At 45.7% G+C, this 19788-nt stretch overlaps 1 protein-coding gene across 3 annotated transcripts in view; it reads right to left on the reverse strand.

The window, feature by feature from the left end:
- The window catches only part of NOMO2 (NODAL modulator 2), a 62186-nt gene that overhangs the window by 9106 nt on the left and 33292 nt on the right, over window positions 1-19788 (reverse strand). For 2 of the 3 annotated variants that reach the window (NM_001004060.2, NM_173614.4), the window contains exons 16-28: window positions 18505-18592; window positions 15457-15520; window positions 14812-14907; window positions 11733-11951; window positions 11565-11647; window positions 10469-10628; window positions 10197-10323; window positions 8157-8270; window positions 6851-6978; window positions 5310-5451; window positions 4318-4401; window positions 2514-2624; window positions 134-235 (exon numbers count right to left, since the gene is read on the reverse strand). In NM_001004060.2, the coding sequence (NP_001004060.1) occupies window positions 134-235; window positions 2514-2624; window positions 4318-4401; window positions 5310-5451; window positions 6851-6978; window positions 8157-8270; window positions 10197-10323; window positions 10469-10628; window positions 11565-11647; window positions 11733-11951; window positions 14812-14907; window positions 15457-15520; window positions 18505-18592 (1518 nt within the window). Of the gene's footprint in view, window positions 1-133; window positions 236-2513; window positions 2625-4317; window positions 4402-5309; window positions 5452-6850; window positions 6979-8156; window positions 8271-10196; window positions 10324-10468; window positions 10629-11564; window positions 11648-11732; window positions 11952-14811; window positions 14908-15456; window positions 15521-18504; window positions 19040-19788 lie in introns of those variants that run through there. The other variant, XM_017023156.3, reaches the window with a different exon arrangement.

Below are 19788 nucleotides of genomic sequence, written 5' to 3' on the forward strand. Positions count from 1 at the left end.
CCTCTTTTGATTCAGAGAGCGCATTTCTGCAGAGTGGTATTTAGGGAGAAAAGGAGAGAACTGTGCTTCCTTAAACTAAACAGCAGAATTATTAAAACAAAGGCAGAAGGTAGAATCCGGCCACAGGCATTACCTCGCCATCTCTGAGCAGTGGGGGGAAATGGAAGAACAGGGACTGGCCAAGGGAAACTGTCTGGATTGGATTGTCGAGGTTTTCGCTTTTGTAAAGCTTGACCTGGAGGGAGAAACAAAGTCAGACATGCTTTGAAACTGAAACACAATCAATATTTCATAGCAGACATCCTCAGGACAGCCGCTCTCTGGGTAGGTGTCTTTGGAAACATGGATATTTGAAAAAGAAAGCTCCCTCCATAGACATCACACATCCCTCTGTCATCTGAGACTCCATCCAGTTATGTATCATGCACAGAAATTAAGATTCAAATCAGATTCTGACTACCCATGTTCTTGCTCAAAATAGTAATATAAGTTAATATAATAGTAATATTAAAAATAGCTTCTAACACGTGTTGAACATCTGTAATATGCCAGGCAGGCGCCAGATATTTTATCTACATTATCGCCAATCCTGACTACAAAACAGGTATTGTTATTATCCCTATGGAGACCCAGAGAGCCAAAGTCACCTAAGGTCACACAACTTACACATGGTAGAGCCTGGGACTCAACCCCCTGACGACTCCTGAGGGTCCTTCCCGCCTTGCACTGCCTCATCATATGATGTCACCTTAACTCCACCAATCTGTTAAACTCAAAACGCATTCCATCATGTACGTGGCTCTCCACGCTGCTTCAGGAGGCACTGGAGTACTTTGTTTCTGGCTTTATTTCTGGGGTTGTTGCCTGTTCTCACTCCCACACGGGATGGGGCATGAGCAGGGTTAAGGTGCAGCCCTGGCTGATGGCAAAGGCTGTGAGGATGCCACAGTGCACCTGCCGCAAGAGAATGCCAGGACCACCTCCCTGGGCCCACACTGGCACCTTTCTACATAACACACCAGGGGAATTTTCCTAAAATGAAAGTCACAGACTGAAGGTTATGGGTCGCATTGAAGATCCCTTATGTGTTCTTTTTTCTTCTATAACATCTTAAGTAAATCTGAATTCACCGACTATATTTAAAAATCAGGTGATTTCAAATAATTCTAATTTCCAGCTTCTCCGGAAAACTGGGAAGTGACACCAACCCTGAGCCTCAATTCTAGCACAGCAACACTCAGGAGCAAGAGAGTGGCGCCCTCCCCTCCTCTCTGCCTCTTCCCCTCCCTTGTGCCCCTCATGGATGGGGCAGGAGTTCCCCAGTTTGCCCCCCACCCTACCCAACCCTCTGCACTCTCTGACATTACCTGCCTGGTCCCTACAAGCACACGCCTGCAAGCCCTGGACAGAGTGGACTAAAGCGCACACACACTTTCTCACCCATGCCAAATACTTAACTGCTTATAAAATTACAAGCGCATCTTAACAATGTACCCCCAGAGCAAATCACTAACATCCGCAGAGGGTCTGCAGGGTATTTTATAAACATTTCTTCATTAATGGTAACATGGAGATTTTGTTAGAGCTGAACAAGATTATAAGAGGTCTCTGAGTCCAAAATCTAGGTTTTGCAGAGGACGAAGTCGAGGCATGTGGAAATGAAGTGACTGGCCCAGGCAGCAAGGTGAGTCACTACTGGAGACAAGAGAAAGCCCAGACCACCTGCTCTCCAGCCCACCGTCCACCACCTCTGATACTGTTTGGATATTTGTCCCTGCCCAAATCTCATGTTGAATTGTAATCCCCCGTGCCGGAGGTAGGGCCTGCTGTGAGATGATCGGATCTTTGGGGTGGATCCCTCGTGGCTTGGTGCTGTCTTCGTTATGAGTCTTGTGAGATCTGATCATTTAAAAGTGTGTGGCACCATGCCCCAACTCTCTCTTTTGCTCCAGCTTCTCCCACATGACATGCCTGCTCCCACTTCACCTTCTGCCATGATTGGAAGCCTCCTGAGGCCTCCCCAGAAGCAGACGCCACTATGCTTCCTGTACAACCTACAGAACGAGGAGCCAATGAAACCTCTTTTGTTATAAATTATCTAGCCTCAGGCATTTCTTTAAACCAATGCAAGAACGTTTAATACGACCTCCACTCCAGAGAAAATTTTAAGTTACAAGGCGCTTTCTTTAGAATTGGCTTTCCACGTTAGATTCCATATTGTATTGATCATTGATCAGGCTTCTACTATAATTCTTTGGAAGATTAACTGATGGCAGACAGTTATCTGAAACTGGACCACATTCTCTCCCACAACTGGCAATCACTCTCCCAAATACGTGTTGTGGTCCAAGGTTCTTAAATCTCAACCTCAACCCTCAGCAGGCGGCACTCTGGAGCACCTCCACCTGTCACACCTAAGGCACGAGACAGGCACAAAACCAAAAACATCCCATTCGTACTTGTCTCAAAGCCAAAGGGAACACAATACTTGGAGCTTAAAAGTCTGGACTTACCCATAACGTAGGAAGGTATTCAGAGGAAGTGATCACATTTCCACTTAAATCAAATTGATTAATCTGCCGGAAAACTATGATGTTTACATCATCGATGTCATTATTCCCAACCTAGAGAGAGAAAGAGGGAATGCCAGTAATGAGAAAGCTGGTGGAGGAACTTCTATGCCAGCTGTCCGATGGCCTGAGAGCTGCTTCATGGCAAACTTTGCTTCTTACATTAAGGAAGCTAAGTTTGTCATTGAGTACCCTACGTCCAAGGTCACAAACCGACAGAAGATGGCTATCCCTGGCCCATAGACACATTTCATTTCGAAAGCACAGTATTTTTTTTCTACGTTTGAATTACTTGCCAACATGTTAAAAATTAGGAAATTTCATATATGAAGCCAGATTTTCCAGCTTCTCTTAAAAAAAAAGGAGAAGGATGCTCTTGCCTGTTAGAGCAGGGGCATATCCCTGGCCCATAGACACATTTCATTTCGAAAGCACAGTATTTTTTTTCTACGTTTGAATTACTTGCCAACATGTTAAAAATTAAGAAATTTCATATATGAAGCCAGATTTTCCAGCTTCTCTTAAAAAAAAAGAGGAGAAGGATGCTCTTGCCTGTTAGAGCAGGGGCAGAGTCACAGCACCCCCTCTGCGTGAGGTCTGTACATGGAGTTTGCGAGATCCCAGAGGGCCGGCCCCCTTCCCTTTCATACCTGCCCGGCCACAGTCCACATTATGCTAGTGATCCTGGCCTAAGTTACTACACCGAGAACATGCAAAGCATTTTGGTGTGAGATGCAGTCATCCCAGCCATTTAAAATGCCAACACCGTAAAGACGTCAAGGAAATCCACTTCCGGCCCGGTGCGGTGGCTCATGCCTGTAATCCCAGCACTTTGGGAGGCCGAAGCGAGCAGATCACCTGAGGTCAGGAGTTCAAGACCAATCTGGCCAACATGGTGAAACCCCGTCTCTACTAAAAATACAAAAATTAGTCGGGTGTGATGGTGTATGCCTGTAGTCCCAGCTACAGGCTGAGGTGGGAAAATCACTTGAACCCACAAGGAGGAGGTTGCAGTGAGCCGAGATCACGGCACTGCACTCCATCCTGCGTGACAGGGTGAGACTCCATCTCAAAAAAAAAAAAAAGAAAAAAAAAAGAAAATCCACTTCCTAGGTCAAAAGTTCTATCCTCCCTCACAATCTTCATGCATAATGAAGCCACCTAAATAAAGCCACTAAGAGGCAGCCCCTCTTGCCCTACCTAAGCCCTCTAGTCTTCCCAATGAGAGTTACTCAGTAAGAGAAAAGCCTTACTTCAAATGATTCCCAGGCCACATTCTGTGACTCGAAGGATGTCCTCTTTAGGGATTAATTTAGCTAGGTCATGATCTTGAGTATCAAAAGACTCTGCCCACAAAATGGGAGCAGGAAAAAGGTCATCTGAACCTAAGATAACTGCGTGGCCCTGCCACCCATTAAGCCCATGTGCTATTATTGTCCCTTGATTTGAAATGCTGCTTAGGCCTTAAGTTCCTTAACTTGCAGAATAATGATCAGAGCTTACAGGGCAAGTTGCGGGGAGGATACAACAGTTCCAATTTCCTTTCTGGATGCATGACAGCAACGCTGTTCACTAAAAACCCACATAAGATTCTGCTTGTGAAGATGACACTATTCTAAGAGGACCCTTAATTAGGATGAAAGTTCCCCCCGCCACAGATGAAAGGCAGACAGCCAGAGGAGACGGGAGGACTTCTGATTAGGGAGGCACCCACACCCAGGTGCAGCGGCAGCACTGAATGCCTTACCTCAATCACCCTATGGTGGGGGAGCGCCCGCTCAATGTGGTCGTTGCCTTCTGCCTTGAGCTGAACGTGGTACACACATCCCGGCTGCAAAAAAACTCAGGAGTCAGTTCTCTAGAAAGGGGGCTTGTCGTATCGTGCCTGGTCCAAGCCTGGTTTGGCTGCACGAGATCATTAAGACAGGAGCATTTCTCTCCCCTCATTTCCTAATCTGTGGCCTGTTAACCTTAAGAGTCCAGAGTTCCTTTAAGAACACCCCTAGTGTTGAAACATCTGAAATTTTGCGACTCCTTCCATCCCAACTCAGTTTCATTTTCTCCTACCCCAAAATAAATCAAATTTGGTTTCTTATTTCAAAATTCCAAGCATACTATGTGCTCTTACTCTTCTAAGATGTTTTTCCTCTCCATCCACCCCTCCCCTCTACCCGTATATACACATTGATGGATATCTGGAATGTCCACCATAAGCATTCCCAAATGCTTGTGTTGGGTATTATTTCTGGGAAGTGGGAATTTCTGACTTCTCTTTTTAAAATTTCAAGGATCTGGCAACCCTGACTCTGTCTTCCCCCATGGCTACAATAAGCTGGAACCAAGTGACAGGCTGTCCCTTTCCACAGGCCGTGCCCACTCCACAGCCCTCACCACTCCCTATCATTTCGCACAGCCTCCTCTCCCCCGTTCATACTGCTCTTCTGGCTCCATAGGCGTTTGGCTTGAGCCCTGGCGTAAGCCATGGCCACACACTGCTAGGGAAAAGCCCTACCAAACCCATGGTTTTCCAACTCCATTGTGCCACAGATCCTTGATCTGACCTGTTGGCTAGAAAAAAGGCAAACTCTACCAATTAAAGGTAAGAACTGGGAGGGCTCCAGAGCCCCACCCCCAGCCCTCTCGCCCAACCCACTCCTAGCAGTCTTGGGGCCACCACAAGATACTTCTGGACACAGGATGAAAAAAAAGTCCCCAAAGAAAACACATTCCAAGTCTCACCAGCAATCCACGTAATCTGAACTTGCCCTCTTCGTCTGTCACGGTGTCTTCTCCGTAAATGCTGCAGTCGTTCTGGCCCACCGCTTCCATGGCAACCCCTTGTTCGGGCTCTCCGTTTAAGGAAGACACTGTGCCATAGCAACTAGTATGGCAAGAACAGGCACGAATGAGATATTCTCATGGTTATCTGAAGGACCCAAGTGTTTCCCGTTTACCAACAATTATGGGGCAAAATAGTTCAGGGGAGAACTGTGCCTCAATGACCCAGGCAACTCGGTGTGGCCGGCCCACTTTCAAACCACACCTTCCTGCCGGAGGGATAAGCTGCCATCAATTTCTTTTCTCATACATTTTGAGGGATGCTCTGGAAAATTGTAATTTAAGAAGGCTAAAGCTTTATTTTATTCTTTCTAGGCTTTATTTGAAATAATGGAGCTTTCAATAACATGGAAATAACTCACTTCCTCTTTCATTCCATATATTCAGTAGAAAATGGTCCATTTTTCTAAACCCAATCTTTCCAATTACTCTTCCTCTAAAGTGATTCTGTATAAGTCTACAAAAAATACACATATGTGTGTATCTGTGTGTATACATGTATATATGTATGCATCTCTCTATCTATAGATGTGTATCTTTTTTATTTTGTATTTTTATTTTTTTGTAGAGACGGGGTCTTGCTATGTTGCCTAGGCTGGTCTTGAACTTCCAGACTCAAGAGAACTTCCCACTTCAGCCTCCAAAAGTGCTGGGATTATAGGTGTGAGCCACTGTGCCTTGCCAGACACTCATGTGTATCTATCTATCTACAGCTGGGAGCATTCAGAAAAACTGGAAGTACTGGTTGTCTCCCAGAAGAGGAACTTGGGTGGCTAGGAGACGAGACAGAGGGGAAATTTTACACTATACTCTTTTCAGCATTTTGAAGTTTTATTCAACTGAGCACATTTTCTCCTTTTAATGATGTAATTCAGGTTTGAAACTCTTTTAAAAAATAAAAGTGGCCAGGCGCAGTGGCTCACGCCTGTAATCCCAACACTTTGGGAGACCGAGGCAGGCAGATCATCTGAGATCAGGAGTCCGAGACCAACCTGGCCAACAAAGTGAAATCTTGTCTCTACTAAAAATAGAAAAATTAGCCATGCATGGTGGCAGTCCCAGCTACTTGGGAGGCCAGGACAAGAGAATTGCTGGAACCCGGGAGGCAGAGGTTGCAGTGAGCCAAGGCTGCGCCATTGTACTCCAGCCTGGGCAAGAAGAATGAAACTCCGTCTCAAAAAATAAAAAATAAATAAAAGCTTTTAGCAACTCAATAGGCTCTCTCAAGCCAATTCCAAAATAGGAAATTTGAGACTGAACCACCAGGTTGAGCTCCTAGGAGAGAAGGGCAGCAGTCAAAACTCCTTTGCCCTCATATCTCATCTCCCTTCCCTCCCAAGTAAAATCAGTGTGAAGCCTGGGATGCGTTTCCAGGCAACAGAGGCCTGAATGTGATTCACCAGCCCAGCCCTGGAAGAGAGTGGGGTGGCCAGGGCACTTACCTGTAAGCGGTTCGGTACCCCGTGATGGTGATCTTCAGGTTCTGGCCTTCCTGCACCTCGATCATCTGTGAGGATGGCTCAAACCGGAACTCCTTCATCATGGGTTTGAAGTAATACTGGCCAGGGCTCTGCCAAGATAATCACACTGAGCCTCAGCAGCCACATCTAGGCATGGCTTAAAAGTGAGGGGCGAATGTCACGATGGACCAGAATTACACCAGGGGAGCGCCATGGCTTCCCTGGCAGCCAAAAATAGTAACCCTCTCTCTATAATCACCACTCACAGTCAGGTAGTGGCAATCACAACTCTAACAACGGCAGCTGATGGTATCACCTGCCTGCAATGACTCAGAGAGGTAGAAGTCATATTTAATTTTTCTTTTCTTTTTTTTTTTTTTTTCTGAGACAGGGCCTGACTCTGTCCCCCAGGATGGAGTGCACGATCACAGCACACCGTAGTCTCAACCTTCTGGGCTCAAGCAAATCTCCCACCTCGGCCTCCTGAGTACCTGGGACCACAGGCATGCACCACCATGCCCAGCTAATTTTTTTATTTTTTGTAGAGATGGGGTCTTCCTATGTTGCTGGTCTCAAACTCCCAAGCTCAAGCGATCCTACTGCCTCACCCTCCCAAAGCGGTGGGATTACAGGCGTGGGCCACCATACCTGGCTCATATTTGAATTTAATGAATAAAGAAACTGAGGCTCAGAGAGGCAAAGTAACTTGCCTGATAGGACACAGCAAGTAAGGAGCAGTCTGCATCACTGCAAAGTGGTGTCTTCAGATGCCCCCACTGCCCGGTCTCCAGTAGCCCCACCACAGCCACTTTGTCACCATGACTGACAAGATGACCAACTAACACACACTTCCTGAATCCCCACCAGTCAGGGCCTCCGACTGCATCTTGAAAGAAAAACTGCTGCTCTCTTCCCACCAAGTGGAATGTCTTTTCAGAAGAAACGCAAGCTAACCACCAAACAAGACTCAGCATCATAAACATGATTCTGTGGCAAAACGAGAAGACGCCTAAGAGAGCAGCCGTTGTGGCCAGGGAAATTAATTACACTGTCTTAGTGACAAGCGGGTGATCAGAAAACAAGAAGCGCGTGTGGAAGGGAACATGAATCAGCAGCATTAAGTTCGAGTAAGAGCAATACTCTAATGACCGTGGGCCCCCAAGAAACTGAAACCACTCCACATTGGCCTTCTCTTCTCACGTTGTCAAGCAACACATAAGTCTCGCATGCTGCATCCTGGCTCTCTCTCAGGGAAGACAGGCAGGTGGTAAATTGCAGAACACGTTACCAGGTTTGAGAATGTCAGAATGCCGTTGTCCTGGGTCAAGAGGTTGGAACGAAACAGGCCACCACTCAGGGATAAGAGGACTCCCGGGAGGGGCTGGTCATCCTCAGCTTTTATCTGGGGATGAGAAGGTGAGACCAGAGCAAGGTTAAACTCCTACTAACTATGAAAATAACAGTTCCACAAGTCAAGAGGTCATTTTTTCAAGGTTTTTTTCTTTTATTGTTACTCAAAGGAGGACAGGGGACCTAATCTTCCTCCCCACAGGTAACTACTGTTGTAAGTTTTGTAAGTTTGGTGTGTAGCCTTCTAGAACTTTTTTTTTTTTTTTTTTTGAGACAGGGTCTTGCTCTGTCACCCAGGCTGGAGTGCAGTGGCACAACCTGGGCTCACTACAACCTTCGCCTCCCAAGCTCAAGCAATCCTTCAGCTTTAACCTCCTGAGGAGATGGGACTATAGGCGCACACCACCATGCCCAACTACATTTCTGTATTTTTTATAGAGACGGGTCTTGCCACGTTGCCCAGGCTGATCTCAAACTACTGGGCTCAAGCAATCCACATGCCTGGGCCTCCCAAAGTGCTGGGATTAGAGGCATGAGCCACCGTGCCCCGCCCAGAACTCTTTCTATGCCCACACAAATTTTATAAACATTACATATTATTGTTCACAGACTGGCAAGTTCATTGAGTGGGTGGAGGAGGTGAAATAAAAATGGCATGTTATATGTACAGTTCTGCAACTTGCTCTCTTCCTCAACAATTTATCCTGGTTCTCTTCTGCCAGCCAATAGAAATCTGCCTGTTTCTTAACTACTGCATAGCATTCTAAGGCAGGGTTTGACAAACCACAGCACCTACTCTTGTGGTACACAAGAGACAATTGGAATATCCCCAAATATGTATCTCTAGGCACTTAGTTTTATTTCCTGAACAATCCATTCCTAGAAGTAGAATTGTTGGATACATGCACTTTAAATTCAGAAAGATACTATCTAATTGCATTCCAAAGTGGCTGTAACCACTTACAGTCCCATAAATTATTTATGCTTGGGAAAACCCACACTTACCAAAAAATAGAGATTGTCTTAATTACAGCAAATCTAATCCCTGCAAAACAGTGTTTCGACTGTAACTTCCTTAGCACATTTCCTCAGTAACTACAGAGGCTTTGTGTTTCTGTGTTTATTAGTCACCTGCGTTACTTCCATGAATTTCCTTTTCATAATCTTTGTTCATTTTTTTTCTAGTGGGTTGTCTTTTTCTTACCAATTTTAGGAGCTCCTTGTAAAATGGGGATATTATTTATGATACAAACATTTCTTCCGAGTTTGAATATCTTTCAGTTTGGTTCCAAATGTATTCAGCAATATAGAATTTTAAATTTTTATGCGATGTAATCTGTCACTCTTTTCCTTTGGCCTATAGTTTATAAATATTCATTCTCAACGATCTCCAGACCCACTCTGTACAATCGCAGCACGCTTCTTCCCAGAAAGGACCGGTGGAAGGGAGCTAGGCAGCAAACGCCTCAGTAAGAACATTCTGTGTCCTTCAAAATGGAACAGTTATGGATGACAGCTTTAACTACTTCCCAGAAGGTACACAAACATGCTAAAGTCAACAGCTCTCCAAATTATGCTACGTGAAAGAAGTCAGACCAAAAAAAAAAAAAAAACAACAGTATATCCTGTTTGATTCCATTTATATACAGGTTGGTGCAAAAGTGATTGCGGTTTCTGCCATTATTCTCAATGGCAAAAACCACAATCACTTTTGCACCAACCTATAAAAACTCGAAAATGCAAACTAACCAATGGTGATGAAAAGCAGATCATCAGCTCAGCGGAAGGGTGGCAGGGAGGGATTACCAAGGGGCAGGAGGAAACCTTGAGGGCCACAGATGTGCTATTTTAATTGTGGAGGTGTTTTCATGGGTGTATTCCTAGGTCAAGACTACCACACTGTACCCTTTTTGTGCAGTTTATTATATGTTAATTATACCTCAGTATAACTGCCTTTTGAAAATACAGTGTTAGTTACCTCAAAGCTTACGCCTGCCAGGGCATAGGCCTTGAAGTCTCCGATGGTTCCTTCCACTGCAGTCAGAACATAGCCCTCCTTCTGTGAGGTCACCGTGTACTCCAGGTCACTGTGCAGGGGGCCAACACTGAAGAGGAGAGAGCAGAATGCTAGCAACGGCTTTGTTCACACCCTGCAGGAAGCCTTACCAAGCCCAAGGAAATGTGGGCCCCAGTTTCTTCAGAGGACTCCCACGCTGATCCCAGGCAAATGTGTCTCTATCCCGGGCTCACCTGTAGGCACCTTTGTCATCAGTAAAGACTGTGATCAGCGGTGAACTTGCCCCCTTTTCACTGATGACAATCTCGACTCCTTCCAACTCGGGGTGGATCTGGCCTTCTAAAAACAGGCCTGCCTTCCCGTGGATCTCGATCAGCTTCCCTGGGCAGCTTTCTAAGAGGGGAAGAAATAAACACAAGGATGGGGCTTGGTAGCAGAGACAGGAGCTTCTTGGTTGGGGGTTTCCCATGACAAAAGTGGCTAAAACAGATCTTAGAAGCTAGTTCCAAATGCGGTTATTTAACACCCCGGGGAGCTCAATAATCGGATACAGCCCAAGCCTCTTTCCATCCCTGAAAGGCCTTTCTCAGTGTGAAGGACTTTAGCAAGAGAATCAAAAAACGCTGAAGGCTGGGTTTTTACTACTACTCTTCCTAGGTTCTCAGGAGGCCACAGATCAGGAGGGAACACTTTACAGCAGACAGGAGGCCGTGCTGCTCAGCCTCTGGAGGACCCACTGAGAAAGACCGCCCCAAACAGCCTGCCTGCTAGAAGTCACGCTCTTCAACACCCTCTGCTTCCAAACGCGAACCACATAACACCCACAACTTAACGAAGCCAGAGTGCTGGGAAAAAAATAATAAGTGGCAAAAGACAAATACTCCACAAGTGATCACTTCAGTCATCCATTCCCCAAAAAAAGACCCTCCCATCATGCTCTGCCAAACAACAGAAAGATCATTAAAGATCATCACTGGCAGCTTTGTGCTTCATCTACCTTCTGGTGTCGACCTGATAATGTCAAAGAAAACCAAGTCCTTTTCCAAAAAGATCAACTCAATTCTAACAGCAAAAGTTACTTTTATTTATCTAAATCATTCATTCATCCATCCATCCATCCATCCATCCATCCATCCATCCAACCCAACCATCCATCCATCCATCCATCCATCCATCCATCCAACCAACAGTAACATCTGTGTGCCAGAGAGGATGTAAGGTGGCTTACAAAGATGGCTTCACTATAACATCACAAATCTACTTGTAAATGCAGGCAAGGGAACAACTGCAAAGGTGTGTGTGACATTCGCTCGCTGAGTTGACATTTACCTCCACTGACAACGGCTTCCATTGAAGGGGGATAAAAGAGCAGCTCTTTAGATGACGGTGTAACAGTGATTTTCTCTCCAGACCTAAAATAATTAATATACTTCAGTTTGGCGGGTCCTGTCCCCACAAAACAGAGGACACTGTAGGGAAACGCACAAGAGAGCTTACCGCGCCCAGTAAGAGAAATCATACGAGAAGGGGCCTTGTAACTCATCTACCATCTCCTGCACGGGAGGCTTGGTCATTCTTTCTTCACCTTCCTCATTGCCGTTTTTCTCCCTCTCCTGCCTGCGGGCCTCGATCTCAGCCAGCTGCTGCTCCCTCCGCAGCTCCTGCACAGACTTCAGAGGGCCTAAGACCAAGGCGGGTTCACTGTCGATGGAAGACCTAGAAGAAAGAAATGGCGGCCCCTAGGACGTGGTTGCGTATCCTTGTGGTCAGTGGGAATTTGACCTTTCTACGAGTATGGACTTGCGAGTTACAAACTGGACATCTTATCATGACACCACAGTGGCGGAGTCTTCTGTTTTAAATAAACTAGTAGTTTCACAAAAAATAACAACTGAGCTTCGCAGTGATGGTGGCAGTATCTGGTAGATCTGGGCTGGAATGAAATACGGTTGATTTTATGGCGACTGGATATAAGCTTGTAGCTTCCATGTAGGACACGGAGTTTTCTCCACACCACCATCCTCTGTTCTCCATTCTACCTTCGCTGAGAACTGCTCTGATAGAGAACTAGGCACCAAGGATACAGCATCAACAAAACAGACCACACTTCCTACCCCTGTGGAATCCACGTTTCAGTGGGAAGGGGCTGAAAATAAAGAGAAAAATAATACCAGAGGAAAAGTGCAATAAAGAAAAATAAAGCAGTGTGGGAAGACGGAGAGCCCGGAGCACTGTTTTACATTAAAGGGACAGTCAAGGCCTTTCTGATAAGGTGACATTGAGCAAAGGTCTGAAGGAAGGGAGAGAATGCGCCACGCAGCTCTCTGGGTAAACAGTAGCTTGGGCAAAGCGATGCCAAGTGCAAAGTCCTTGGAGAGAAAGCTCACTCAGATGTTCAAGCAATGGCAACACCAGTCCAGCCTGGGGCACAGGGGCCCACGGAAGAGTCATATCCAACAGAGAGGTCCAAGGGGCAGCAGATGTCAGACTGAGGCTTCACAGGCTTGGTGCCGACCTGGAGCCACTGGAGTTTTCAGTCGAGGAATGGTATGATAAAAGAAATCGTTCGCTCCTTCATGGAAAATACACAAAGCAATGGCGGAAACAGGAAGGCCAGCTGAGAAGCTGCTGCAGTGATCCCAGAGGGGGGTCAGACCAGGGCTGAGGGCCACGTGGTGAGAAGGGAAGGCCAGCTGGGAAGCTGCTGCAATGATCCCAGAGGGGGTCAGACTAGGGCTGAGGGCCACGTGGTAAGAAGCAAAGCCCAGCTGGGAAGCTGCTGCAGTGATCCCGGAGGGGGTCAGACCAGGGCTGAGGGCCACGTGGTAAGAAGGGAAGGCCAGCTGGGAAGCTGCTACAGTGACCCCAGAGGGGGGTCAGACCAAGGCTGAGGGCCAAGTGGTAAAAAGGGACTAGATGATGGGTGTATTTTGATTGTAAAGCCAAGGCTTTGTTGGGGAATTGGCTGGGCCTAGGGTTCAAGGGAAATAAGAATCAAGAAACAAGGAGAAAGCGGGAGCTGCCATATCTGAATCAGAAAAGACCACAGAGGGGCTCATGGAGGGCAACTGTCAGCAGTCGGGTTTTGGGTCTGCTGAGTACACGATTCCCAGGGGAATCCGAGTGGCTCTGTCTAGCTGGAAGATGCATTCCATACAACCTCCGGCACAAGCAAGCAACACAAACACCCTTGTGAAGTTACAAAAATGAATGTAATCAAGCTGAAAGGAGGTAACATGCAGTTACTACTGGTAAGAAGGTAGATTGCTAGTCCTATCAGTAATTCATACTTTCCAAGCAGGGAGACAGTAAATGATAGTAAAAGACAGCAACAGACCTTCAGCAAATCCACCCCCAGCTAAAAACCTGGCTCCCCATCACCAGAAACCAGGGCCAGCCCTGACATTTCTCCCGCCCTAACCCAGTGGTCACTTTAGTGCCATGTCTCATCAACTCAGTCCCTCAACGACTCTCCGACCAGTCCGTCGCTCTCCATCTCCGCAGCCACTAGTCTGGGGCCCCCATTGCCTCCCCCTGCCTCCACCACCTCCCACTCTCAGGCCTCTTCTGTCTGTTCTCCACTCGGCCAATAGGGGGACCTTCAGGAAGAAAAATGTCATTCCTCTATGTAAAACATGTCAATTGCATCATGGGACAAAGACTATGGACCTTAACATGGCCTGGCCCCCCGCAGCCTACCTGTCCTGCATGCCCCCAAGGTCAAGCTCAAAGCACTCAGAACAGTTGTCATTTTACGGTTCTGCATGTGAGTATCTGACCACTGTTCCCCCCATGAGACTGTCAATCCCATAAGTGTAGGGGCTGTGGCCTCATAAGCCCAGTGCCTAAACACTGAAGACTCTCAGTTTTTCAGTCATCATGTACTCTGCAGGGATGACGGATGGATAAACAGATGGTGGACAGAAAGATGGAAACATAGCTGGAAAGGTGACTTCAACCAGGGGCAGGAGGGAGACAGGGACTGCAATGCCCATTCTACTTGACAGAGACGGTCATGTTGCCAAAACTCTTTCATTTCTCAAGAAAATTGGGGCGTCACAGGTACCTCACCACACTGCAAAAATTCCCTGAAAGGTGACATTCACATGAACGTGACCTTCGGTGAGGGACTTGCCTTTCAAATACTTCCTCTCTCACGACCCTTCTCTTATACCAGGTGCCATCTCTATTTCCCAAGCCTTCAAGCAAAAGTCTAAAGAAAAATAGGCAATTTGAATTTGCTAAAACACTTGAAATACAATGCACAAACCCCAGAGATTTTTTTTTTCCTTAGCAAAGATGAGAAGTACAAAGAGTTCAAACAGAAATTGAAGACACTGAAACAAGCTGTCGCAACGCTCTTCCTCACCCACAGGTAATTTCTGAATCAGAAAAGGAAAGGATCAAGGCTGCTGGGAATTGACGGCAATGTCCTATAAGAGAGGGAAGGCCATTTGTATATACATCTAGAGATAAGAAATCAAAACTAATTTCCAGAGAGCCTATTAGAGACTCCCCAGGCCTCATCCACACCCTCTCCCGCCACTCTCGGCCCACTGCAGAACGCTCATCTTACTTGATAGTCACAGTGACATCCATCATTTTGTCGGTGGTGATAGTTCCAAGGACATGGTGGCGAATGGCTGTCAATGTCAAGATACTAGGTGAAGACCTACAAATCAAAGCAGAGGAAACGCTAGAACCTACTCATTCTCAGAAGATCATCAGCAATACCCTTTTTGGGCATCCTTCTTCACCCTAAATATACTACAGAAAATTGCTTTTAGTCTGGGGTAAAATAACTCTGGAGATCCAGAGAAGTATTTTAAAGAGTAAACTAATTCTCCACTCCACAACTTTATGCTTCCAATTCCCAGTGAAACCCACACACGTCTGTAAAAATACAAAAATGGCAGACTTGAACTTGACAGATGCCCATCGGTGAGGGCTGGGAGATTTGACAAAGCTTCTATTTAAGGCACTTCAAAAACACAGCCCTCTATCCTGGGGTTACAGAATTCTTGGGAAAGGGATCCTGTCTCCGGTTCCTCAGTAACTAATCCAAGTGTCTTAAAATCCTTATCTAGAAATGCTGTTGAAGGCCTAACCTTGCCTCTTTCAGAAAAAAAAACAGAAAAACTCCTTTTGTTCTCTGAAGTAAATGAAGAATCCTCCACGGAATGTATACAAACACCACAAAGCATTCAATTCCCAGGCTTACGTGTCATAGGTGTAGAACGCTTGCTCAAACCGGTGGCAGGAGCGAGGGGTCACTTTGTACACACCTACAGACAGGAAATCAAAAGTAATTTTCAGAGAATGGCATCTATTACACTGAGCAATTCCGACATCTGAAATCGAGTGGCAGCTCTTTGCATGTGAAAACTCAAACGTATCGCAGATCTGCAATAATGGGATCAGAAATACTGGGCAGGCATCGTTTTCACTGCCTATGAAGGCGTCTTACCAATGACCCGATCCATGCAATGGCCCGATCACAGGCGCATGATTTTCATTTTCCATAAGGTAACAACTCACAGTAGTTAAATCTGCACAGACCAGGTGAACGGACCCATGCACGAGAAGGAACAGAAAGTACGTTTCTACTGCAAATTGGACTGAGGATAATTTCCTACTTAAAAGATTCTATTAAGGATCCAAGAGATAACCACAGCCTCAATTTCTTCCTATAAATATTCCTAAAAAGGAGGTAAGGAGTAAGGGAAGCCCCAGAAAAGTGTGAGTCTGTGTGGGAGGACACTCCGAGTAGGGGTACATTTCATCACTTGCCAGAGGAACACAGTCAATTTCAGGAAGATACAAGGAATAACAATGTATTTCCCCCAAATCATCATTAACCAATATTTTGGCCACACTTCCTACAAAAACCTGAAATTAGCTAAAACCACCCTGCTGTTTTCATTGCACTCAACAAGCCCCAGAGTAGTTACCATCAAAAAAAAAAAAAAATCAGGTTTCTCTGTTTGTTTTGTTTGGTCTTTCATTCAACAAATATCGACAGAGCACCTCTTCCTGGCCAGGTATTATGCTAGGTACTGGTACACAGTGGGGAATGACAGAGCAGTGGTCCCTGTCTTCATGGAGTTTACCATCCACAGAGAGGGGGAGCATTTGACAGCCACAAACATATCAATTGTGGCACATGCAAGAAGGGGATAGAAGTGAGTGCTGAGAGCAAGAGTGTAGGAGGCAGGCCTAAGTGGCCCTGGAGGCCATCCTTCCCCAGGGAAGCAATACTGAACTGATGGGTAAGAAGGCCCCAGCTAGGAGGGGCAGGAGGACATGTCCACAGAGAACAGCATCTGCCTCACAGGCTGGCTCATTGTTTCCTCAACAGGCATCCTTCCTGCCTTGAGAACAAACCCTGGTTATGTTGAGGGTGGCAACGTGCTCAGCCTCGGGTAGCACATCCAACTGTCCCAGCCTCCCTTGCAGCTAGAAGTAACCATGTGGCACGGTTCTGGCCAATAATACAGACAAGTAGCTTACTGGAGGAGGGGGCGCAAGGAAATGTTTGCCTGCCCTCTCCTTGACTTTCTCCTTTAAACATAAGTTTTCTAACAACAGCCATCTTGAAAATACAAGGCAAAAAATAGAAGGGAAAGGCCTAAAGAATCACAAAGACACCACCCCTAACATCTACCAGCTGCTGAACCCATGCTGGCAGCCACGCACTGCCACACTTCTTTATTGAGCCAAATAAACTACCACTTGCCGATGGCACTGCTGTATGGATTTTGTTACATGTAGCCAAAGGCAGCTGAACTGACACCCAGAAGGACAGAGTGGCTGGAGTAGAGACAGTGGCAGACAGGGCTGGGTTACACAGGAGCTAAGATCAGGTTAAGGAGTTTGTATTTTATCTTGGGAACCAAACAGAGGAGCCACTGAATTATTCATTAGGAAAATGCAAAACAAAACCACCATGAGACACAACTTCACATCTACCAAGATGACTATAATAAAACAGACAATAACAAATGTTGGCGAAGGAGGTGAAGAAACCGGAACCCTCGTGCATTGCTGGTGGGAATATCAAATGACACAGCCTCTGTGGAAAACAATTTGACAGTTTCTTAAAAGGTTAAACATAAATTTATTACACAATGCAGCAATTCCATTCCTAGGTATCGAAACAAGAAAAATGAAAACATACGGACACAAAGACTTGTACAAGAATGTCCGTAACATTAGTCATAACAGCGTCAAACTGGAAACCACTCAAATATCCACCAACTGATAAATGGATACACAAAATATGATATAACCACACACCAGAATACTACACAGCAATGTAACAGAACAAACTACTGATATGTGCCATGACACAGATAAACTTCAAAAACATGTTAAATAAAAGAAGCCAAACAAAATACCAGCATCGTATGATAAACGTCCAAAAAAAGCCAATCCATGGGGACAGAAAATAGATCAGTGGCTGGCCATGGCTAGAAACAGGGATTAACTGTCAATGGGCACAGAGGATCTTACATTGTGGGTGATGAACAAATCTAAAACTGGATTCTGGCCGTGGTTGTGCAACTTGATAAATTTACTACAAATCATTTTATTGTACATCTTAAATAGGTGAGTTTTACGATATGCAAATTCTGCCTCCAAAAAAATCCATTATAAAAGAGAGAGAAGGTTGGGTGCAGCAGCTCACACCTGTAATCCCAGCACTTTGGGAGGCTGAGGCGGGCGGATCACTTTAGGTCAGGAGTTTGAGACCAGCCTGGACAATGTGGTGAAACCCATCCCTACTAAAAATACAAAAATTAGCCGGATGTGGTGGTGGGCACCTGTAATCCCAGCTTCTCGAGAGGCTGAGGCAGGGGAATCGCTTGAACCCAGGAGGCGGAGGCTGCAGTGAGCCAAGATCAAGCCACTACACTCCAGCCTGGGTGACAGAGCAAGACTCCATCTCAAAAAAAAAAAAGAGAAAAAAAAATGAGAAAGAGCGAGAAGCCACTGAAAGATTTTAAGCAAAGTGGGAAATGATTCCAATTTTAAAACAGCTCTATAAAGAGAGGCCATTGGCCAATGGTATATTTTTGGAGGTGAAAGGGCCCAGTGGTGTCTACCCAACTCAAACCCAAGACAGACAGAAAAACAAGAGCAGGTTGAACACACAGAAATTGAAAGCTTGATGCAAACAGAACTAAGGTAGAAAAAAATGCCTTCAAAACCATCCTCTGGTGCCTTTCCATTTTTCTAATTCATGGCACATCAATCCTTCCAAACTTACCAGGCTTGGACAGGCAGAATCGGTTGACTCCTTTGGAGAGGTTATAAATCCCCACATTCTCACGCCCATTTCCATCCTGATAAAATTCCTAAGGGAGCAAAGCCAATACAATGACTTACTAAGAGAGATGGAGACACCAAGATGATTAATAATATTTCTCTTTCCAAACCAGTCATCTGTTTTGCCCATTAATCATTGGAGCAGTTGGGTGCCACAGGAAAATTAAAAACCTCCCAAAACTTCCAACAAAAGTGTGCTATTTTTCATTCAATCAACTAATATTTATTGAGCACCTGCTATGTGACAGACACAAGGCTGGGCCTTGGGAGTCATGACCATGGCTCCTGCTCTCACAGGGCTTATGTTCTAATACAGGAAGACAAAATCAACGCATCAACAAATAAATTAGTGATCTCAACTGGTCAGTAACGAAGCTGTGAAAATAAACAGGAAAGCAAGAGAAGAACAATCCCCACCTAGGGGTCTTTAGCTCGCTGGTCCCAGGGCACATCTCTCCTGAACAATAGGGCTGCGCCTGAATGAGGAGGAAAAACCAACAACACGTGTTTCTGGAGAAGACACAGCACTCCAGGCAGAGGGGAGAGTATGTGCAAAGGCCCCGAGGAGGGAGTGAGCTTGGTGTGGGACTGCAGAGGACCACTGTGGCTGGGGCCCGGCGAGTGAGGGGACAGTGGGAGGAGATAAAGAAGGGGTTAAGGAAGTGTCAAAAAAAAAAAAAAAAAGGATCTTATTACAAGAGAGCTGGAAATCCACTCCACTGCTGGAAGGGAAAGGTTTCCTAAATATCTATCACTTATTATGAACCGGATATTAATCGATCTCCTATAACAAATCGACCTGTCAAGTTTTTGTAATTAAGCAGTTAGGGGAGTAAGTTGGCACATGAAACACCAGTTCCAATTCTTCTAGTTTCTCTACAGAGAAACTAAGACCTGACGATGACATCTGCCGCCACTCAACATCAAAACATTATAGAAAATTCACGAAGGGATCTACAGAGGTGCTCCTGAAACCCATTTCACACTGCCTTTCAGGCCACAGAGACCACAATCAACAAGAAGCTAAGATCCTGTTTACAGCTTCTTCCCCTGCGCTGGAACAAATACACCAGAGAAGGTGGGGCACAATGGCTCACGCCTGTAATCCTAGCACTCTGCGAGGCCAACACAGGTGGATCCCCTGAGGTCAGGAGTTTTAAGACCAGTCTGGCCAACATGGTGGAACTCTGTCTCTAACAAAAATACAAAAAAAAAAGAAAAAAAA

Source organism: Homo sapiens, chromosome 16 (genome assembly GCF_000001405.40).
Source record: "Homo sapiens chromosome 16, GRCh38.p14 Primary Assembly".
NCBI lineage: Eukaryota > Metazoa > Chordata > Mammalia > Primates > Hominidae > Homo > Homo sapiens.